A 20,402-nucleotide genomic window follows, 5' to 3' on the forward strand; every position below is an offset into this window, starting at 1 on the left:
TAGGCTCTATAAAGGCAATGAGCATGGAGTTTCTCAGAAATCGAGTGCTCATTCTTCATAGGCTCCCTTTCCCTCTTTTAAAAAATTGTTTAATTAATTAATTAATTTATTTATTTATTTATTTTTGACACCAAGTCTCGCTCTGTTGCCAGGCTAGGGTGCAATGGCATGATCTTGGCTCACTGCAGCCTCCACCTCCCAGGTTCAGGCGATTCTCCTGCCTCAGCCTCCCGAGTAGCTGGGATTGCAGGCGCGTGCCACCACGCTAGGCTAATTTTTGTATTATTAGTAGAGATGGGGTTTCACCATGTTGGCCAGGCTTGTCTCGAACTCCTGACCTCATGTTCCATCCACTTCGGCCTCCCAAAGTGTTGGGATTACTGGTGTGAGCCACTGTGCCCGGTCCCTTTCCCTCCTTTTAAGGGTCATTAACTTTTGGACTTTAAGCAACCAGGCTAGTTCGAAGAGAAAAAGAAAAAGAAACTAAAACAAATAAACCAAAACAATTACGTAATTCTCTTTTCACCAGTTAACTTTGCAAGTGGCTATTACCTATTACAGATTTTACTCTTATCCCAACCAAGTAATAGAGAACAATGAATCTATTTGTTTGACAGCTGACATAATTTAAGAGATGGAATCTTTGCAATATTTCCTAAGGTAACCTTCTTCTCTTGCCCCATTAAGGGTCCATTTTTTTCTAATTGCCAATGAATAAGGAGGCCAAAGTAATGGGGGTTTTATTGCATACATATAGTTATTTAAGTGCTATTTTCTATCCACTATATTTCAATTACCACCATTGCTACCTCATTGCAAGTTACCATACTGGATGCCATAAGAATTGCTAAGTCTTGCCCTAGTGTGCTTTGAGCACGAAGGAAAAAATGCAATTGAGGCAACAGTGACATTTTCTAGAGGGTGCTGGGATACTGATGTTTATCCATTAGTCTGGATGGGTCCTTATAGCTCTTCAGTATAGTAACATTTCAAATAGTATACATCAATGATATGAAGTGATGACAAAGTCAAGCATTAAGCACTCTAAAGCCATATTAAAAATTCCTTCACTCGGTGGGGCGTAGTTTGTGGCTCTGCTTTGCTTTACAGACAGATTCTTCAGGAGTTTAGAAGCCAATACAAATTTAAAACTCAAGAAGTTCAGTTATACACTGAAAGGAAAAGTTAAAAATTGCCAAATAACCAATAAAATGTGGGAAAACATCTGTTTTGAACTACTAATAATGGTTATATTAACACTAGTAAATAAACAGTAAAAGAAGCATTCTGTGTTTATTCTTTGCCTCAAGAACTTAATTTCTTAGGTTCTTAATTAGCTTAGGAAATGAGTGAAAAATATTTTCTTGGATAAATGTACTTGAATATTCTCTACCAATATGTACTGTTATACTGATGATCCTTTGAGAAAATAAGATTTTTGAATTGTATAAGATTTGAAATTTTATAAATTATGAGAATATATTGCCTCCACAGAGATGTTAACTGCTAAAAAGTATACTGTTCTCATCAATGACTATCTGCTCTTATCACTTAGTATCTGTTGTTATGATTAAATAAATACCACCTTAAAAAAACTAAAACTCTATATTCTGATTATGTACAATTTGCACATGCAAATAAATTGCATTCAGAATAAGATTTATAAAGTTAAACATTTTATTAACTTCTCCATCTTTGTTACATTTCAATAATTGATATGTCATAATTTTATGTAGATGCAAATTGTCTTCTTTTTTTTTTTTTTTTTTTTTTGAAGCATAGTCTCGCTCTGTTGCCCAAGCTGGAGTGCAGTGGCACGATCTCGGCTCACTGCAAGCTCCGCCTCCCGGGTTCACGCCATTCTCCTGCCTCAGCCTCCCAAGTAGCTGGGACTACAGGCGCCTGTCACCACGCTTGGCTAATTTTTTGTATTTTTAGTAGAGACGGGGTTTCACTGTATTAGCCAGGATAGTCTCGATCTCCTGACCTCGTGATCTGCCCACCTGGGCCTCCCAAAGTGCTGGGATTACAGGCGTGAGCCACTGCGCTCGGCTGGGTCTTGTGTGTCTTTCTTACCACTTATTCAAGACAATTCAAAAGTTTGGTGGAAGGATGTATAATCAAGAAAGATAGTTGCTGAATTATTTTAATGTTTTTAATCGGTGAAAAAAAATTCAGTTCTGTGTTAAATGTTGTATTTGTAAAGGGGCAAAACCAGAGTTATTAAATTGACTGGAAGTTCATGATTTTCTTTCTTTTTTTTTTTTTGACAGAGTCTCGCTCTGTCGCTCAGGCTGGAGTGCAGTGGCGCGATCTCGGCTCACTGCAAACTCCGCCTCCCGGGTTCCCGCCATTCTCCTGCCTCAGCCTCCCGAGTAGCTGGGACTACAGACTCCCGCCACCACGCCTGGCTAATTTTTTGTATTTTTAGTAGTGACGGGGTTTCACCACGTTAGCCAGGATGGTCTCTATCTCCTGACCTCGTGATCCACTCGCCTTAGCCTCCCAAAGTTCTGGGATTACAGGCGTGAGCCACTGCGCCCGGCCGAAGTCCACAATTTTCTTACCCTGAGTGTGGAATCAAAACCTTGCTTAGAGTCTAAATAACTCTAGCTATCAGCACAATAACAAATTGAAACTCATTTTTAAAACCACTTGACATCTGAACTTTAAATAACCTTCTATATTATCTGTATATGATTGCTTTTCTTGTTTAAAGCATTATGTTGAAAAATGTATCTGCATAAAAATACCAATTTTGGTTATGAAAAGCAATTATTATTGATATATTGTTATCAATGACATCTAAATAGTCACCTGCCTGATATGTCCTCCACTTTGTGCATATCACTTCTGCTTTAGGGAACATACCCATTTTTTAGTATTTAATTCATGAGTTTTACAATCAATTCCAATGAACTTGTACAACACAGATAACGCTTATGTAGTACTTGCTTACGTTGAAATATTTTATGAGATGCCTTGAGTATTTTTTTCTTTTTCTTTTTTTTTTTTGAGACGGAGTCTCGCTCTGTCACCCAGGCTGGAGTGCAGTGGTGCGATCTCGGCTCACTGCAAGCTCTGCCTCCCAGGTTCACCCCATTCTCTTGCCTCAGCCTCCCAAGTAGCTGGGACTACAGGTGCCCACCACCATGCCTGGCTAGTTTTTTTGTATTTTTAGTAGAGACGGGGTTTCACCATGTTAGCCAGGATGGTCTCGATCTTCCGACCTCATGATCCGCCCCCCTTGGTCTCCGAAAGTGCTGGGATAACAGGCAAGAGCCACCGCGTCAGGCCTAGTGTTTCTTTATTGTAAAGATTTGTTTATTTCACAGTTTTAGACATAATCTTAAAGTTTATCTATTCCATGGGTTTACAACTTTGGTGCTATGCAGTAGAGTATGTCTAGCAGTATTCCTGACTACTAGCCACTAAAGCCAAAAGCAGCTCTCTAGTGTGACAGCCAAAAGTGTCTCCAGAAGTTCCCAAATGGTCACTTGTAGATAAAACAGCCCTTGTTGAGAAACACTGATATATTCCAATTAGCCAAAGGATGCTTAAAACTCTATTTGTTCATACTAATTATTCAGAACCATTATGCAGAGTCATTTATTCTTCTGTGTGAAAAAATATTTCATGTGACAGTCAAATTAGAAAAACTGATGAGTAAAGTTTTATTTAGTTTACCATTTTTCTATCTCTAAATAGTACATCTGGTGAATATTTGCATTAGCTTTGAGAGAATTTATAGAGATACAGATATTCTAATTTCAAAATACATTAGTTGATGTTTGGATACTGGGATTGAAAAGATCTATATAAGCATCTTGTAATAATTTATACATTAAATTAGTCATCAAAATGATTATGTGACTATTGCCAAAATAATTCTCTTAAATAGTTGTTTCTCTCAAAATATTTATAAAAGTGTGATTAAAATCTTTAGGTTTTATTTTAAATATTTTTTCTGCTTTAAGTGCCTACGAATAAGCAATTAACCCCCCTCCTTCTTTCCACATTAACACATTATGAGGAATTATTCACAGGGATTAACATTGCATTGGCCACAGTAGTAAAATAAATACGACCATTCAACCGATGAATAAAAATACAAACATGGAGTTTTAGTGAAAACTTCCTTTGCTCATTCCTAGAAAGTCTGATTCCTGAGAAAGAGGCTATGGAAGGAAAAGGATTATATCAAAAGCATTTACATGGGTTCCTAGAAACCTGGGCAAGATTGATTTTGGTTAAGAAAACATTCTTTCTACAGAATGTTGGGTGATTCAGAGGGTAGGACAGGTGAAAATAGGATCTGCCAGTAGTAATATAAAAAATCCTGTATATAATTTGCTGTTTCTCTTTCTCATGAAAATAAGTCCAATCACTGATCTTCTCCTCATCAGTGCTACGATTATGTTAACCACACTCCTGAGAGAGGTCGAGGGTGAAATGCTGAGAGTGGGAAACGGAAACTGTGTTACTCTCAATCTTTCCTCCACCTGACCTTAAAGCCCCTCCCTCTCCGAAGCAAAGAAAGTCAGACATACCCAGTGGGATGGCTTTAATGAGTATCCAATTCATTTGGATCCTCTTCTGTGAGAAAAATGGGAAAGAAACAATAAACCCTATAAGCAGATTTCCCATCAAGCATGATTCATCAGAAAAACAAGAGGAACAAACCTTTGAAGGTAATGGCAACAAGGAGGAGGATGGCCCAGGTGGGGCAGTGTGGAAGATCAGGAAGCAATGCAGCAAAGGGTGCTGCCTATGGGGAGGGGGTTAACTCTGACAGAGGCAGAACCAGGGTTCCCCAGTAGGAGGCAGTCTTGGGGCTGAGTCAAAACTGTGGATAAACAACATCAACAGGTTTGATGCAGAAAGGCCATCACTGGAGCAGAGATAGCAGAGAATGGTGCTAACTCGGGATTCCAGAGTTGAAACACACTGGGTTAAAAGCACCATTTATTCAACAGTTAGAGTATGCAAAGTGAGAAAAAAAATTCAAGGAGTTAGAGGGTCATTGTTTGGGCAATGAAAATGCCTGACAGACAACAACAGATGCTGGAGAGGTTGTGGAGAAATAGGAACACTTTTACACGGTTGGTGGGAGTGTGAGTTAGTTCAACCATTGTGGAAGACAGTGTGGCAATTCCTCAAGTATCTAGAACTAGAAATACCATTTGACCCAGCAATCCCATTACTGGGCATATACCCAAAGGATTATAAATCATTCTACAATAAAGACACATGCACACATATGTTTATTATGGCATTATTCACAATAGCAAAGACTTGGAACCAACCCAAATGTCCATCAACGATAGACTGGATTAAGAAAATGTGGCACATATACACCATGGAATAGTATGCAGCCATAAAAAAGGATGAGTTCATGTCCTTTGCAGGGACATGGATGAAGCTGGAAACTATCATTCTCAGCAAACTATCAAAAGATCAGAAAACCAAACACCACATGTCCTCACTTATAAGTGGGAGTTGAACAATGAGAACACATGGATACAGGGAGGGGAACATCACAACGGGGCCTGTGGGGGGTGGGGAGCTAGGGGAGGGATAACATTAGGAGAAATACCTAATGTAGGTGACGGGTTGATGGGTGCAGCAAACTATCATGGCACATATATAGCTATGTAACAAAACTGTACGTTCTGCATATGTAACCCAGAACTTAAAGTATAATTTTAAAAAAAGAAAAGAAAATGCCTGATGATATGCAACACAATGATGCTCATATGAGGAGATGGGCTTTTCACCTGTAGATTGCATGAATCCTGTTAACTGCATCAGGGGAACGTATAGAGTAGCAAGTGAAAGATGGGAGGAGGAGCAGACCTGACAGTTGATTTAGAAGGGAACTTTGTGACTATTTATACAACTTGAAAAGACATAAAGGTTTGGATTTTGATGTCTCATTGAGATGCCTGGTTAAGAATGATGCTCTTATACCCAATACATTTTGTATAATAAATTTCCTGATTACCATGATTCTGTGGAAAAAGCGTTTTTTTTTTTTTTGAGACAGCGTTCTCGCTCTGTTGCTCAGGCTGGAATGCAGTGGCGCAATCTCGGTTCACTGCAAGCTCCACCTCCTGGGTTCACGCCACTCTCCTGCCTCAGCCTCCCGAGTAGCTGGGACTACAGGCACCTGCCACCACGCCCGGCTAATTTTTTTTTTTTTTTTTGTATTTTCAGTAGAGACAGGGTTTCACAGTGTTAGCCAGGATGGTCTCGATCTCCTGACCTCGTGATCCACCCACCTCGGCCTCCCAAAGTGCTGGGATTACAGGCATGAGCCACCACACCCAGCCAGAAAAAGCATTTCATAGTTATTTTCATAAATCATTGGGAACATGCAAACCCATTTATATTAAATCTAGGATTCATGAGACTACAAAGGGAAGAAAAAAATTAAAACTTTAATGTTCAACTATGCTATAGACAAAGCATATTTTACAACTTTGAGTCCTATACCTTGGGGTGTAGTTTAAATACAAGCTCAAGCCATGTGAGGAACCAGATACAGAGAGGGAGTTGGAAGCAGCAGAAAGGCGACCTAGGAACACATTTTCTCATCCTGAGGTGGCGGGTTGCCTGCCACTCACATGTGCAGCAGATGGCATAAAGGCAGTGAGGGTGGGAGTGGCTGGCACCTCGCAGACTGCCAGGCTCCATCTGGGCTCTTGATAAATATTAATTAAATGAATTGAATTCGTCGAAGAGCACTGTCCATGCTGCCAATTATATCAACCAGTCTTTGTTTTATGTACTGTCCTCATGTCAGCGTGACAGGGTAACTCTGATCGGTCTTTATAAAGACTGAGTGAGATACACAGATAAGCTAACAGAGATGAAACTCAAAGACATAGCTGTTGTATAGATCCTTCTTTATAAACATATTGTTAAAATCATATCCTAGTAATATTTTGATTCACAATTCATCTGGAAATAAAGCTATTATTTATTTATTTACTTATTTATTTATTTTGAGACAGACCTCTCGCTCTGTCGCCCAGGCTGGAGTGCAGTGGCACAATCTCGGTTCACTGCAACTTCCGCCTCCCAGGTTCAAGTGATTCTCCTGCCTCGGCCTCTCGAGTAGTGGGCACGTGCCACTACCGCCCAGCTAATTTTTTTGTATTTTTAGTAGAGATGGGGTTTCACCATATTGGCCAGACTGGTCTCGAGCTCCTGACCTCGTGATACACCCGCCTTGGCCTCCCAAAATGCTAGGATTACAGGCTTGAGCCACTGCACCCGGCCAAAGCTATAATTCTTTAGCAAAATCAATCTCTGTGTTACAGAGACTGGGAGAGCTTCAGATTTTTCTATTGCTTGGTGTGGGGATATGGCAGACAAGGAGAAAGGAAGCAGCCCAGAATTTGTTCATGAATGGCTCTTATATTTCTGAGTTTCACAATCCATGTAATCTAGAAGTTGTGAAAGTGTTACCTGAGCCCCTGAAGTGAAAACCATTGAGAGGGACCTGTGTGCCTCTCTTCAGGAAAGAGAAGGTTATAGTGCTGCAGCCTAGATGAAATGAGGGTCATCTGGAAATTAGCCATCCCCTGGAGGGATGAGGGTTGAGGAGCCATAAAGAAATCTCCATGTTCAAAAACATCCCTAAATTAAGGTGTGTTAATTAAACTTTGTATCAAGAGAGACCTAAGTTAAAGAGTCATAGGAATACATTTTCTCAGTTATATCAAGGTACCCATAATGTCTGCCAGCCTCACCAGCTTGTGAGTTCAGATGAGGATTCATTAATATTAATGCCCAAATTCCACAGGCTCACTCAAAATGGCAAGACATCACTCTGTCTCCTCGTGCAATGTCTGGAAATGCTGGCCAGTTATTTCTGGAAGTCCTCATAAGCTATCTCGTAAGTTCACAGCTTCTTTTACACCATTCTTCTTGTTAACAGGTACTGCTAGGCAATGTTCTAAGGGGAGGCACCTGGTCACTGGCAATTTCCCAGGATTTTTTTTACAAGGACATTGCTAGGCACCAGAGTTAGAGTGACGTCTCTCTCCCTCTATGTACACAGCCAATCTGCTCCAAAACTGCACAATTAGCACCTGGGCCCCTCAGAAATACAGCTACCACTAGTTTTGGTGTGTCAGACCCAGCCCTGGGCACAGATGAGGAATTCTGGCTTCTCCTCCTTACCCTTCAGGAATGAGGATAAACATTGCTCCCCCAGGATAGCATTGCGTCATTTCTGGAGTGTCTTAGGATTGCCATCTTTAGGTTCTCATAATTCTCTATACTTCTAACATTGCGCTTTGGGATTTTACTTATATTACATATCTATCTACCTTCCCTCCTGTAAATTCTTTATTTTTAATGGCAGAGCATTGTATGTCTTGTATATCACAGTATTCCCTAGAAGGGCTACCATATTGCACACATCCAGTGGGCACTATTGGCATGCAATTCTCTGACACTGAGCAGCAAAATCCCCATTCCGCAACATCATTAAAACTTGGTAAGTGCTTAAGTAATTTTGAATAAGTAATTCATGTCATGCATTTCTCCGTCTTTCCTACAACTTTACTTAAAATCCATGAATAGAACCTCTGTGTTCTATTCAATTCCAAGAACATAATACAGTACAGTATAACAAATCTCTTTTGTACTGGGGGAAACTGATGATGAAGCAAGTGCTACTCAGAAGAGGATATAATTTCCATCAACCCAGTTCAAATATCCATACAAGATAGAGACATGATAAAGATGTGAATAGTAGAGAAGATATAAAAGTTTGGGCTGAGGAAGAAACAAGGGGACGTGGACATGTATTCATTCAGTTATTCCACAAATACTCACTGAGCACCAACTCTATAGGTGCTGTTCTAGATGCAGGGAACACAGGGTTGTATGAAACAAAATAAACAGTGAGTTAGTAAATAAATGACAAAGAAGGTCAATATTTAAATAATAAGTATTATAAAAAATGCAGGAGAGCCACAGGATACAACATGATAGAGGCATGTGTTTATCTAATACAATTTGATCGGGGATTGACCTCTCTGAATAATGAAGAATGAGTATATAAAGATACTGAAAAATAATTACAGGAAAGGAAACACCATCCCAAGGCAAATCAGGTAATACTAGTTATTCTTGAGTTTATTGGATGAAACAAAGAAAATGGATGATAAAGGTATAATATAAAAATAAGACTTAGGGCTGTGTTGAATTCACTAATACACATTCATCTTACGAATATTGGCACTTTACAAACAGTAGAAAACTGAAGTTCTATGTACTCTGCTAAGCACTTTACATTTAACCATCTCAACAATCATATGAAATAAGGAATATTATTACCCCCCTCTTACACATGAGGATATTTAGGACAAAAACTTAAGAGGTTTTCCCGGCCGGGCGCAGTGGCTCACGCCTGTAATCCCAGCACTTTGGGAGGCCGAGGTGGGCAGATCACGAGGTCAGGAGATCCAGACCATCCTGGCTAACACAGTGGAACCCCGTCTCTACTAAAAATACAAAAAATTAGCCAGCGTGGTGGCGGGCACCTGTAATCCCAGCTACTCGGGAGGCTGAGGCAGGAGAATGGCGTGAACCCAGGAGGCAGAGGTTGCAGTGAGCTGAGATTGTGCCACTGCATTCCAGCCTGGGCGACAAAGCAAGACTCCACCTAAAAAGAAAAAAAAAAAAAAAAAAAGGAAGAGGCTTTCCCAAGGTCATGCAACCGACAAATGTTCTTGGATTTGAATACAGGAAGTATAGTAATAGAATCTGTGATTTAATCAGGTAAATATATACGTGGTCTCTGACATTTCCAATGTTAATGTTATATGAAGATATTTAGACATAAGGAGAACTATGATTTTTAAAATTTAAATTATTTAAATAATTACTTATTGTCAATTATTTGGTTTTCCTCATTGAAAAACATTAATAATATAATTACTTGTATTCTTTTCCTTATTGTGTGCTGTGTAACTGAAATGTTTGTGTAAGAAATAAGTATAAAAGAGTGTAATCAATGCAATTTTTACCTTTCTCACAGTTGTTGACATCATTTGGCATCACAAAGTTAGCTATGGTAGTTGATGTCAACTATGGCACCCAAATAATTGGGTCAACTTTACTTTGAGTAAATAATAATTTATGAATTTTTATCAGCTATAACTTTAATGTTAGTCAAATATGCTTGTAATACTTTCTGAGAAAAGAAACAATAGGAAATAACACTTAAGGCTTTGTACATCTATTTATATTATGTTGGGTTTAAATATGATTCACGTAAATATTTGTATTTTTATTTTGAGACGGAGTCTCGCTCTGTCGCCCAGGCTGGAGTGCAGTGGCGTGATCTCGGCTCACTGCAAGCTCCGCCTCCCGGGTTCATGCCATTCTCCTGCCTCAGCCTCCCAAGTAGCTGGGATTACAGGCGCCCGCCACCACACCCGGCTAAGTTTTTGTATTTTTAGTAGAGACGGGGTTTCACTGTGTTAGCCAGGATGGTCTGGATCTCCCGACCTCGTGATATGCCTGCCTAGGCCTCCCAAAGTGCTGGGATTACAGGCGTGAGCCACCACGCCCGGCCATATTTTTAAAGTATTAATAAGTGTAGTAGTAGATGAAACCCTAAAAGAGAATATTAAAAATAGAATCAGCATCTTGTACAGCACCTCCCCCACAAGATAATAATGTATTACAAAGAGTAATTTTTGATAGTTTTTCTGGATACTTCTTGGAATTCTTCCCTTGGGCAATGTTAACATTGAAACATCAACAGGGTTATTAATGAAAGTATCCAAAGCAGTGAACAAATAGAGTCAACTTAATTCATAGAATAGTTACATTAATTTCATTTATTAAAAGTTTGGCTATTATTTGTACACACTCATACATCACAGCTCAGTGAATGAAAATCTGGTTCCCAAACTGCTGCTTGTCCTGAAACTGCTATTTTTCCTTAAACATTTTTTAAAACTTTGCTTCCACTTTTGTTTATTTAAATTTACTAGTAACAATGGTGCCACCTATCCATCTGCTCTTGGCATGTTTTCTGCTATGTACAAATAATTCTGTCCAAGTGCTTTATCCCAACCAAAGCCATGTTAGTAGAAATGATAAATTTAACAGGTATGCATGGTAATAGTTGGAAAAACACTGACTTGGGAAGATCACAACTAGAAAAGAATTTTAATGCTAAAAGCCACTCTGAATGTTCCAGTGGGCAGTGCCAAGCAGAAGCACAGAAGATGACAGATGGTAAATATATTCTCACCAACTGACAATTGCAATTTCCTTGGCCAATGATTCTCTAAGTCATGCAGTTTCCAGGTCAAATAGACTTCATTCTACTTCTATGCTTAAAAAATATATATAATTATATTTAATGAAGAAATGTTTTGAGCTACTAGAGGGTATCTTGGTAGGCATAATGAAAATATAAACAATTATTAAATATTTTAAGACACTGAAAAATCTATTTGATCATACATATTGTGTCATACTATTCTTGAATGTTTTGAGTATTATAGAAACCTCAGCTAATGCCTTTAGTCTTCGGAAAAAATATTTTTCCACAATGGAAACTAAAACACAAAATCATTTGGTACTATCTTGCAAAATTACATGTTTTTATGGGAATTAAAATTAGATCAATGATTAAAATGTCTAAGAGGCAATTATTATATCCAGCTTTTGCTGTATGCATTATATAAATTATAAAAAAAAACAGTGAGTTTCTCTAGACTGGTATGAATTAGATTATTTAAAATAGGTATCACTCTGCTTTCTTTTACTATTGCTATGTTACAGAAATGGAATTCTTTATTCTAACATTAGTAAAGAGCATCACCTGCTCACCTAGAAAAATATGATCATTGGCTGCTGTTCAGATATGTAACACATTGAAATGCTGACAGTGCTGGCTAGTCCAACACAACAATCTTTCTTCATTTCAATTATACTATTACATGGCAGTCAACATTTTAGAGTAAACAATCCCTCTAAAAATAGGGTGTATCCAAAGGAAATTGACCTACCCTGTACAGAGGGTCGAGACCGTCATGTTGAAAGGCATCTACTCTCCCAAGACTGGCAGGATTTCCTATGCCATTTTTTTTCCTTCATTCGCTCTGAGAATAGGACTGAGAAGTTTTGCCAGATAAAAATCTCACTGAGGCTTTGATGCTAATAGTTTTCAGTTCCTAATTTACATTAAACTGTAGCTCTGCCAGCTTCAAAAGTACAACTGAGTACAAAGCCAGATGACCTTAAATAACTCCAAGAATGAGCAGTCACCTGTGCATTACTAATTTACATACTAAACTCCAGAGCTGCTTAAAAATTTTAGAAAGAAAATAATTTAATAATTTGCCTATGACATGATCCCATGTAGTACCAAAGCTGATAATGTAGATCAGAATATAGATAGGACTGCCTCAATACGTGTATCTGTGCTATCTTATTAATCCAATAATTGCCAAATTTCCACATAATTTCCATTCCACTCCAAACTATAGTATCAATAAAGGTTAATTGGATTCCATTTTCTTATTTTATCTGTTAGTTTGAGGGAGAGATATGTCACCCTGAATGTTAGTGGCTTAAAACAACAACTATTTTTTGGCTCACAATTCATCAGGCTGCAATATGGGCTGGATTTCATGAGTGGCTCTTCCAAAGAGCTGAGTTAATCTCACGCATTCATCAGCTATTACCTAGAAACTGATTGGGGCTGGCTGATCTAGAATGATCTCATTCATAGTCTCAATGGCTGGCTGGTAGCTGGCTAGTACAACAGTGGTGACTGGGTCATGGGTCTCTCTTCATCCAGCAGACTGGTCCGGGCTTACTCATGTAGTGGTTGCAGAGTTCCATGAGCAACAAGAAAAAAAACAATCCCCAAAGCATAAGCATTTCCAAGTTTCTGTTCATTTGCTATTGTCCCATTCACTAAAACAAGTCACATGGCCAACCCCAGCATTAGAGTGGGTGAGTACTCAGGATTATAGGGCAAAGACAGTGTGGATACCAGGGAGAAGAATGATTCATAGCTATATTATATGCAGTCTATCATACTTATTAACTGTGGTCAGTTTAACATATAGAAGTGAGCTGAGCTCTGAGTTTACTGCTTTAGCAATGTTTACTGGAAAACAAGGCCAAAAACTGCTATAATATTCAGCTTTCAGTAGGTCAAAAATTCAGATGAATAACTTAATCTACCAATTTAACATTGACTAATGTTGATTGAGCATTTACTGTGTACAATATATGAGCATTTTACCCACATTTTTTCATTTGACTTAGAAAAGGGAGTATGGTATTTATGAGTGTAGACTTGAAGTCAGACTGCCTGTGTTCAGTCCTAGGGGATCCAAATACTCTGAAGATATATTTACTTCCTTTTCAATATTCTATGGAAGGATCTTAACTTCTTGCTCTGAGCTGAACTTGTTTACTTCCTGGAAGCTCTTATTTCTATCAAGTAACAGATTGACCTTTTGCTGAAAAGAAGATAAATGTAAATATAACAAAAAAAATTAAACAGACACATTCTGAAAATCAATATCTGTTAAATCATGGGTCAAAGAAGCCAAAAATTTCTATTAAATGAGACATCTTGGCAAGGTACATCAAAATAGTTCTTATATTTACACATTCTATAATAGCAACTGACATTAATTTTTCACCTGACATATGAAATTGTCTTTTGTTGTCTCCATGTGTTTCCTGACCAAAATATCTTTTTCTTAGCTGCCACACATCTTAATGTGTCACCTTCTTTATTGTTCAGCTCATGTGATTTTCATTATCTATCCCTGGTATTGCAACAATACCTCTTCAATCCTGACTACCACACTGACACCAACGTCCTAAAGTGAATGGAACAAGGTGCTACACTATTCCTGCTTCTAGCTACTTATATCCGCTAATGTGGAGCGGTCCAGGGAGAAACTCTGACCAGCCTGACCACTGGGAAAACAGTGTGGAGCCTCAGAAAGTTCACCCAGATTGCAGGAGGGAGGAGCTTGGCCTCTCCTATTCCAGGGTGGGAACTGGGATTCAATCTGTGAGGCGGGAGGCCAGCCAGCAGGACTCAGGCTTTGCAGAGAGTCCCTGTTTCCCTTTTTTTCCTTTTCACCAAATAAATTCCATGTTTCTCACCCTTCAAAGTGTCTGTGAACCTAACATCTCATGGCCATGGGACAAAGACCCCGTCTTTTGCTGAACAAAGGAGGAAATCCTACAACACTAATATATGTTAGTAGTGATGATTCTCCTGGCTGAATGTCTTGAGGTAATATAAACTGTAGCACAAACATATTCTCTTTTCACAGACCGGTTTTATTTCTGTGGAGTCCAGATTGCCTGGAGAAAGAAAGGTTCTTCCAAGAGAAAACTTAACCAAAGAGGAGGATCAGAATGGTGAGCCCGATGCAGAGAGAAGGATAGCTGGAAGAGCTAAGGAAGACCCAGTGCAGATTCATGAGATATGCTTTTTTTTTTTTTTTTTTTGAGAGGGATTCTCGCTCTGTCCCCCAGGCTGAGTGCAGTGGCGTGGTATCAGCTCACTGCAAGCTCCGCCTCCCAGGTTCACGCCATTCTCCTGCTTCAGCCTCCCCAGTAGCTGGGACTACAGGTGCCCGCCACCACACCCGGCTAATTTTTTGTATTTTTAGTAGAGATGGGGTTTCACCACGTTAGCCAGGATGGTCTCAATCTTCTGACCTCGTGATCCACCCGCTTTGGCCTCCCAAAGTGCTGGGATTACAGGCGTGAGCCACCTATCCTGGCTGAGATATGCTGATTCTAACCCAACTTCCTTATCATCACATTTGAATGCTAGAAATTAGAGATTCTGCCTACAATTCGAAAGATCTGCTCAGGAATATAACCTTTTAAAATGGAAGTAACTTTGGTTTAGGATCTGTTTACCAAGTTGAGTGTTACAGAAGACTGTTGTTTTCTCACTTCATTAGAAAGGGTATTGCTCATCTACTTTAAGGTCCAAAAGTAGTTTTCCACTTTTACTCAGGAGTGGTACATTCCAGCCCCACCAGATCCTAGGTGACAAAAATGGCCTCACAAAAATGCACTGGGAACCATGAGCATCGCAATTTGGAAAACTGGACTGGCTACACAGGTCCAACTCGGCCACCAGAAAGCATTGAAAGAACAGTTTCAAAAATTTCTGTAATATTCTTCATCCTAATCAGTTTTTTATTGGACATCCTAAATAGACATAACATGGAAAACTCTGCTTTTTCTTATTTTGTAAAAGGAGAAAGAAGGTAGAAGTTGATATCCGAGATTTACCAATAACCAATGCTCTCCTGGTAATGACCTCAGAGAAACACAGTATCTGTGGATCTGCAGGAGGCCTGGGCCAATGAATCCCAGCTCCACTGCTCCCAGGAGCAAATTACAAGTCAAAGTGATTCATGGGCATCAATATTCTTGCAGGCAAACAAGGGGTTTTGGAACATGGAGATTTTGGTGTTAATGTCAACACACAACATCAGCAGTGGCTGGAATAATAAGGCTTGAGTCCATGTTGCATAGAGATAAAGAAACTGAGGCTCCTGTCACAGCTCTAAATTAAAAATCGTATTAATGAAATGATAAAATAAGTAAAAATTGATATCTTTATTATTATTCCGAATTAACAAACACTGTTGTGGATGAGTCTAAACATCAGTGTAAATTGTTACCAGATTTTTCTTCTTTCTACCTGAAAGCACATAAAATATGCTTTTTAAATGTGTACAATATGGTTTAATAAATTTGGATTCCTCCTCCATTCTTTCTCCTCCCTTTAGCTCTTGGCTGACCTAACTGGGACTGGAGCCACTCCCTTCATTTTCCAGCAGAGAACATATTTATTCTTCTAACTTACGGTAGCCTGAGGTTTCTAATCAAATCCAAGGATTTAGGATTTAGCTTGAAGGCATCACCACAACACATTACAGTACAGATAAGTTGCTTTAAGTGTCACTCTCTATAAAGTTTCTAGAATACATTAATAATTGAGGCTATTTTCTCAAAGTTCTGATTGTTTTAACAGTTTCAACTGATATTTAATCAAATGCTATTTTTAAATTAACATTATTATTTATTTTATTTTATCCATATTTCTTTTTAAATCAGTACTTGGATAAATAAAATTCCTTCCCCATGGCATAAATTCAACTCTATTTGTTGAACAAATAGAGACTCTGTTTTGGGGAATATGTAGAAATCCAGGTACTAGAGAGAAAGAATTGTGCTCTCTATTTATTTACACTAGAATGTTTTACATATAATGGAAGTTCAGTAAACTACTACCGAATTGAACTAAAGCATATTTTTATTTCTGCTTTTAAAATATTTTCAAAAACTAGACTATAGGTTTAGATAGGCTAACAATTTATGTAGATATCAATAGTCCTGACTTCAAAATAAGTGTTAAAGAAGCTCAGTGGCAGCAAAAAAATGTGAGATGATTTCAGAATACCCTTCCACCTGTCAGACAGGATAAGACACATGCTAAATATGGAGAAACAGCCAGTGATTTGTTACTCTGGTGATGGATCCATGGATATTTGAAAAAGTATAAACCTGGGGCCAGATGAAAATAAAAAAAAAAAGCATAGATAGCACCAAAATTTTGCTTAGCCATGTCTAAAAGATGTAAAAAATGAAGAATATTTTAATATTGGTGGAATTGGAGGAAGGATTCAAAAGCAGATAGGTAAATGGTACCAGGAGATTAGAAGACTGGGATGCAAAAGTGGATAATTCAGCCATTTAGAGAAGATTACAAGGACATGAAGCTCAGTCACTGTAGGAATCTCTAAATTGGGTTGATATTGTGAAAAGAGCATGAGCATTAGAATTAGACAGACCTGGAATTTAATCTTGTCTGTGGCTTTTAGCACATTAAATAATGTGTTTAAGCCTCAGTTTATTTCAAAAGTTGGAACAATGACATTAAATATGTTTGAAATATCTAGGACAGTACCTTTCACATTGTAGAGGCTCAGTAAATACTAATATGTATATTCTTATGAATCCATAATGAGTAGATGTATAAGCTGTAACACCGTTCCATGGAGAATCAAGGTCAAAGGAAAGTATCCTCTAGGACAGATAGATTGTGATATGGTATACCAAGATGACCTTGAGTTCTGAGGAACCAGGACCAAGACTATTAACTGCTGAGACAGACAGCAGTTATCTACTTGGAAAGTTTGGTACAGTATATGAATGTCCTTATTTTCCCAGTTAAACAGATTTTTTTTTAGATGGAGTCTTGCTCTGTCGCCCAGGCTAGAATGCAGCGGTGTTACCTCGGCTCACTGAAAGCTCCGCCTCTCTTATTATTATTATTATATTATTATTATATTACCCAAATAAATATGTAATTGCAAACTGAGATTTAAAGATCTATAATTGAAATTAATATACTTTTTAAAAGACTATGAGGGAGACTCAATTGAAACTGGAAAGTCAAGGAAGTTCATTCTGAGGAAGCGAATTTAGACTGATATCGAAAGGACAAAAAGGCAAAGAATCTCAGAAAGTAGACTATTCCGGTAGAGGACTCACATTTAAGGAGTCTTTGCAGTAGGAAATGGATGGAGGAGCAGTGTGGCTGGCTGGCACATAATGACCATGGGTCAAGTAGAGACATGAATTTGGAAGGGTCATGTTAGTCAGGAAATGTCTGGGTTTTACTTTAAATGCAATGGGAAGCTATTAAAAGCTTTAAAGATGAAAGACCTATTAAAATTCCAACATTAAGTAATAGACTGGCAACTTAACAATGTTGAAAGGTTGACTGGAGGAAGAAATCGTGAATTTGAGGCTTCTAGGCTTAAGTAGTCCAGACAAGCAATGAGGGTGGCTTGGATGAGGGTATTGACAAAAAATGGATGGTAGTGGTCAGATTTCAGGTGCCCTTGGGAAAGTTAGATTATTTGAGCTTCACTTTTATCCACATTAAATGAGTGTAACAGTAGATATTTAATTGAGATATTATTGATAAAGGAGATAATTGTAACCTTAGTTTTTTGTTGTTGTTTGTTTGTTTTTTGAGACGGAGTCTTGTTCTGTCGCCCAGGCTAGAGTGCAGTGGCAAGATCTTGGCTCACTGCAACCTCCACCTCCCAGGTACAAGCAATTCTCCTGCCTCAGCCTCCCCAGTAGCTGTGATTACAGGCGCACACCACTATGCCCAGCTAATTTTTGTATTTTTAGTACAGATGGAGTTTCATCATGTTGGTCAGGCAGGTCTCAAACTCCTGACCTCAGGTGATCCACCCGCCTCAGCCTCCCAAAATGCTGGGATTACAGGCCTGAGCCACCGTGCCCGGCCTAACATTAGTTTTAATAAGAAATCTGTTGGCCGGGCGTGGTGGCTCCTGCCTGTAATCCCAGCACTTTGGGAGGCCAAGGTGAGCTGACCACAAGGTCAGAAGATGGAGACCATCCTGGTTAACACAGTGAAACCCCGTCTCTACTAAAAATACAAAAAATTAGCTGGGCGTGGTGGTGGGCGCCTGTAGTCCCAGCTACTTGGGAGGCTGAGGCAGGAGAATGGCATGAACCTGGGAGGCGGAGCTTGCAGTGAACCCAGATCACACCACTGCACTCCAGCCTGAGTGACAGAGAGAGATTCCGTCTCCAAAAAAAAAAAAAAAAAAAAAAAGAATTTATCACAATTTACTTGTCAATGTTACCTTTGACATACATTCAGATATTTTTCCTGGTTTGGGGCTCTTTTAAATAATGCTTCTATGAACGCTCTTGAACAAGTTGTGTGATGCATATATGTGTGCAGTTCCCTTGGGTGTATGTCTAGGAATGGAATTGTTGGGTGTGTGTATTTGTAGCGTTAGCAAATATTGCCAAACAGTTTTTCAGCCTAATTTTCATCTTTTTACATTCCTATTGGCAGTGTATAAAAAGTATTATAGTTTAAATCTGCACCAACTTATCATGGCCTTTTTCAAATTTAGCCATTCTTTTAGGTGCTTAATGATGATACATGGTAGTTTAAGTCTGAATTATTTGATGAGTAATGATGTTAAAAATCACTTTTTAAATATTTTAAATGAACATTTGGATATCATCTTTTGTCATGTACCTAATCAATCATTTATTCTTTTTTCCTTTAAACTAGAGATTCTGTTTGTTTTTTTTCTCATTGGTTTGTGGGAGTTTTTTGTGTATGCATTATGAATACAAGCCTTTGGCAGATTGATATATTGCCACATCTTCAACTCTGAGGCTTTTTCAGTTTTGGTGATATCTTTTGACGAACTGAAATATTTAATTTTAGTGAGGTTGAATTTATTAATTTTTTGTTAATTTGTAGTGCTTTTAGGTCCTGCTTAAGAAATGTTTGCTTACTTCAAATAAGAAAGAAAGCTACTCTCCCATCTTAATAAAGTTTTAAAAACGTATTGTTTACCTTTTACATTTAGGTCTGCAAACATTTGAAATTGACTTTTGTGTATGGTGTATGCTGGAGATAAAGTTTATTTCATTTTTCCATGTGAATATCCAACTGAATCAATGCCATGCATTGAAAAGACTACTTTTCTCCATTGTATTGCAGTGGCACTTTTTGTAAGACAGCTGACTCTGTAAGTGAAAGTCTGTTGCTGAACTCTATTCTGGCCTATTTGTCTTGCTTGCACCAATAATAGAATGTTTAAAATAAGTCTAGATATCCAATGATATATACCAGTGAATATTACTCTACTTTGAGAATAGATTGACTATTCTTGAATTCTGATATGGTTTTTTTTTTTTTTTTTTGAGATGGAGTCTCGCACTCTGACCCAGGCTGGAGTACAGTGGTGCCATCTTGGCTCACTGCAAGCTCCACCTCCTGGGTTCACACCATTCTCCAGCCTCAGCCTCCTGAGTAGCTGGGACTACAGGCACCTGCCACCACGCCTGGCTAATTTTTTGTATTTTTAGTAGAGATGGGGTTTCACCATGTTAGCCAGGATGGTCTCAATCTCCTGACCTTATGATCCGCCTGCCTCGGCCTCCCAAAGTGCTAGGATAACAGGCGTGAGCCACTGTGCCCGACGGAATTCTGATACAAGTTTTAAAAACATTTTTCCAACTTCTAAACACACAAACATGAAAAATAATCTTCTGGGATTTTGTTGAAGACTAGTTTTTTTCTATCCATCAATTTTTGAAGAATAAATATTTTGACAATATGTACTTTGGCTTGTTTAGGCCTTCTTTAATTTGTCAGTGACATTTTGTAGTTTCTGTTTAGATGCTTGTGTATTTAGCATTAAATTTATTCTAAGTTATTTGATACTTGATTCTTTCATGAATGGTATCTTTCTTAAATTTCATTATCTAACAAATTGTAAATGTATACA

At 38.4% G+C, this 20,402-nt stretch overlaps 1 annotated feature.

Annotated features, from left to right (window-relative positions):
* Nucleotides 6,893-7,091: a silencer, noted in NCBI's record as "fragment chr7:80627598-80627796 (GRCh37/hg19 assembly coordinates)". NCBI's record gives its function as "represses an EF-1alpha promoter that drives an FKBP-Casp9 reporter gene in an ReSE screen in K562 erythroleukemia cells {active_cell/tissue: K562}" and the evidence as "EXISTENCE:reporter gene assay evidence [ECO:0000049][PMID:32094911]".

This window comes from Homo sapiens, chromosome 7 (genome assembly GCF_000001405.40).
Source record: "Homo sapiens chromosome 7, GRCh38.p14 Primary Assembly".
In the NCBI taxonomy this organism is placed as follows: Eukaryota; Metazoa; Chordata; class Mammalia; order Primates; family Hominidae; genus Homo; species Homo sapiens.